Source organism: Homo sapiens, chromosome 5, assembly GCF_000001405.40.
Source record: "Homo sapiens chromosome 5, GRCh38.p14 Primary Assembly".
In the NCBI taxonomy this organism is placed as follows: Eukaryota; Metazoa; Chordata; class Mammalia; order Primates; family Hominidae; genus Homo; species Homo sapiens.
The window spans coordinates 26,755,735-26,758,442 of record NC_000005.10 but is presented as its reverse complement, the minus strand read 5'-3'; the positions used below and the strand labels follow the sequence as shown (position 1 = coordinate 26,758,442).

Genomic DNA, 2,708 nt, shown 5'->3' with positions numbered 1-2,708 from the left:
TTTCATGCACATGCAATAACTCAATATATACCCCCTTTCATAATTTCAACGTTCATCCATGTAATAGCATGTATCAACACTTCATTTTTAATTGGTAAATAATAGTCCAGAATATAAATATACAACATTATGTTTATCCATTCACCAGCTGGTTCAGTGACATTTCCAATTTTATGTTATCGTGGATAATGCTGCTATGAAAGACTGTATACAAAATTTTCATAGACTGCTTTTAGTTCTCTTAGGCATATAAGTAGGAGTAAAATTGCTGAATCATACAATGACTAACATTTTGAGGAACTGCTGAATTGTTTGTGAAAGTGCCTGTGCCATTTTTACATTCTCGGCAGCAATGCAGGAGAGTTACAATTTCTCCACACCCTTACCATCCTTGCCAGACTGGTTTTTCTTTGTTTGTTTGTTTTTTGTTGTTTAGTTGTTTTTATTTTTTCTTATTTTTTTTTTTTTTTTTGAAACAGAGTCTCACTTTATTGCCAAGGCTCAGGTGCAGTGGTGCTATCTTGGTTCACTGCAACCCTTACACCCCTGCCTCATGAGTTCAAGCAATTCTCCTGCCTCAGCCTCCAGAGTAGCTGGGATTACAAGCACTCACAACCATGCCCAGCTAATTTTTGTATTTTTAGTAGAGACAGGGTTTCACCATGTTTGCCAGGCTGGTCTTTAACTCCTAGCTCAAGTGATCCGCCTACCTTGACCTCCCAAAGTGCTGGAATTACAGGCATGAGCCACCATGCATAGCCTTTGCCAGACTAATTTTTGTCTGTCTCTTTGATTACAGTCACTTTGATGGTTACTAAATAATATCTTATGGTGGTTTGGTTTGTATGTTACTAATGACTAATGATGTTGAGCATTTTGTATGTGCATATTGGCCATTACTATTTCTTCTTTGAAAAAAAATGACAATTTCAATCATTTTTAGTTGAGCTGAATGTATTATTAAAATTTTTGAGTTTAAAGAGTTCTCTATATTTTGGACACCAGATCATTAGATAGATTATTTGCAAATATATTTTTCATTCCGATCCTGTCTTTTCGTTTTCAAGTGATGATCTTTGAAGCACAAAAGTTTTTAATTTTTGTGAAATATAATATGTGTACTATATATTTTTCTTTTGTCACTTGAGCTTTTAGTGCCACATCTAAAATCCCATTGCCTCATTCAAGGTCTAAACATTTACTTTTATGTTTTCTTCTAAAAGTTTTATAGCTTTAGCTCCTGCATTTATGTTTATGTTGCATTTTAAATTCATTTTTGTATATGGTATGAGAGAGGGGCCCAACTTCATCTTTCGCATTTGGAGATCCAATTATTTTAGCACATTTTGTTGAAAAAAAGAACTATTTTATGATCATTAAGTTATTTTAGCAGCTTTATAAAAATTAATTAATCATAAAGGTAAGGAATTTATTTCTAGGCTTTCAATGATATCCTATTGATCTATAAGATCAACAGATTTGATATGTTTGATGATATTCTGTTGTGTTTATCTTTAAAACAATACCACCCAGTCTTGATTACTTTACTTTGTAGTAACTTTTAAAACTGGGATATGTGAGATTTTAAATTTTTTTATTATGAATGTTTTGAGTATTTTGGATCTAGCACAGTGTCATATAAATTTTTAAATTTTTATGGTTATTTTTTAAAATAAAGCCAGCTGAAATTTTGATAGAAATCTTGTTCAGTCTGTAGATAAATTCTTGCAGCCATCTTATCAATGTTAAGTCTTCCAGTTCACAAACATGACATGTATTTCCAATTATTTACTTATTTTTTTATATAAAAACATAAACATCTTTAAACAATATTCTTTAAGTGTTGTATTGGCTTTGTTAAGTGAACTCCTAATTATTTTATTCTTTATGATATTTTAAATGGAAATGCCTTCTTAATTTAATTTCCAGATTGTTCCTTGCTGGTGTATAGAAATACACTTTATTTCTGTAATATGTTGAGTTTGTATCCTGCAAATTCTGAAAAGATTTATTAATTATTTTGGTTATTATTTTTAAGATTCTACAGGAAAGTTAATATAATCTGAACAGAGGTAGTTTTACTTCTTCCAACCCAATCTAAATGTTTCTATTTATTTTTCTGGCCTAATTGTCCGGCCTGTAATATCTAATAAAATGTTGACTTAAAAGGATGAGAAATGACATTCTCTGCCTCTTCCCATTCTGAGGAGGAAAGTGTTCAGTCTTTTGCCATAGGTTGTCAGCTGTACATTTTTCATAGGTGCTCTATTATAGGTTGAAGAATTTCCTTTCTATTTTTATTTGATTGAGTGTTTGGATAATTAAAGGTTGTTGCATTTTGTCAAATGATATTTCTTCATCAATAAAATGATCACATTGTTTTGTCCTTTATGCTATTAATGTGATGTTTTACATTGATTTGTTTAAATTAAGCCAAACATGCATTAATAATATAAATCCCACTTGGTTATGGTGTATAATCCGTTTAAAAACAACTCAGTTTTCTAGAATTTTTCTAATGAATTTACACTTACATTCATAAGGGACATTGATCTTTACTTGGCTTATCTTCTTTTTCAAATCTTGATCTTCCACATAATGCACACTGATGTGGAAAATTCACTGGAATGTATTAATAGTAAGGTTCATTTGGCAGAAAAAAAAACAATGAGAAAATTTGAAGATAGTTTATGTGAGAACATCCAGTC

General features: G+C 30.8%; 1 annotated feature.

The window, feature by feature from the left end:
* Positions 206–406: a silencer, noted in NCBI's record as "peak5190 fragment used in MPRA reporter construct". NCBI's record gives its function as "represses an SCP1 promoter by STARR-seq MPRAs in K562 erythroleukemia cells {active_cell/tissue: K562}" and the evidence as "EXISTENCE:reporter gene assay evidence [ECO:0000049][PMID:32103011]".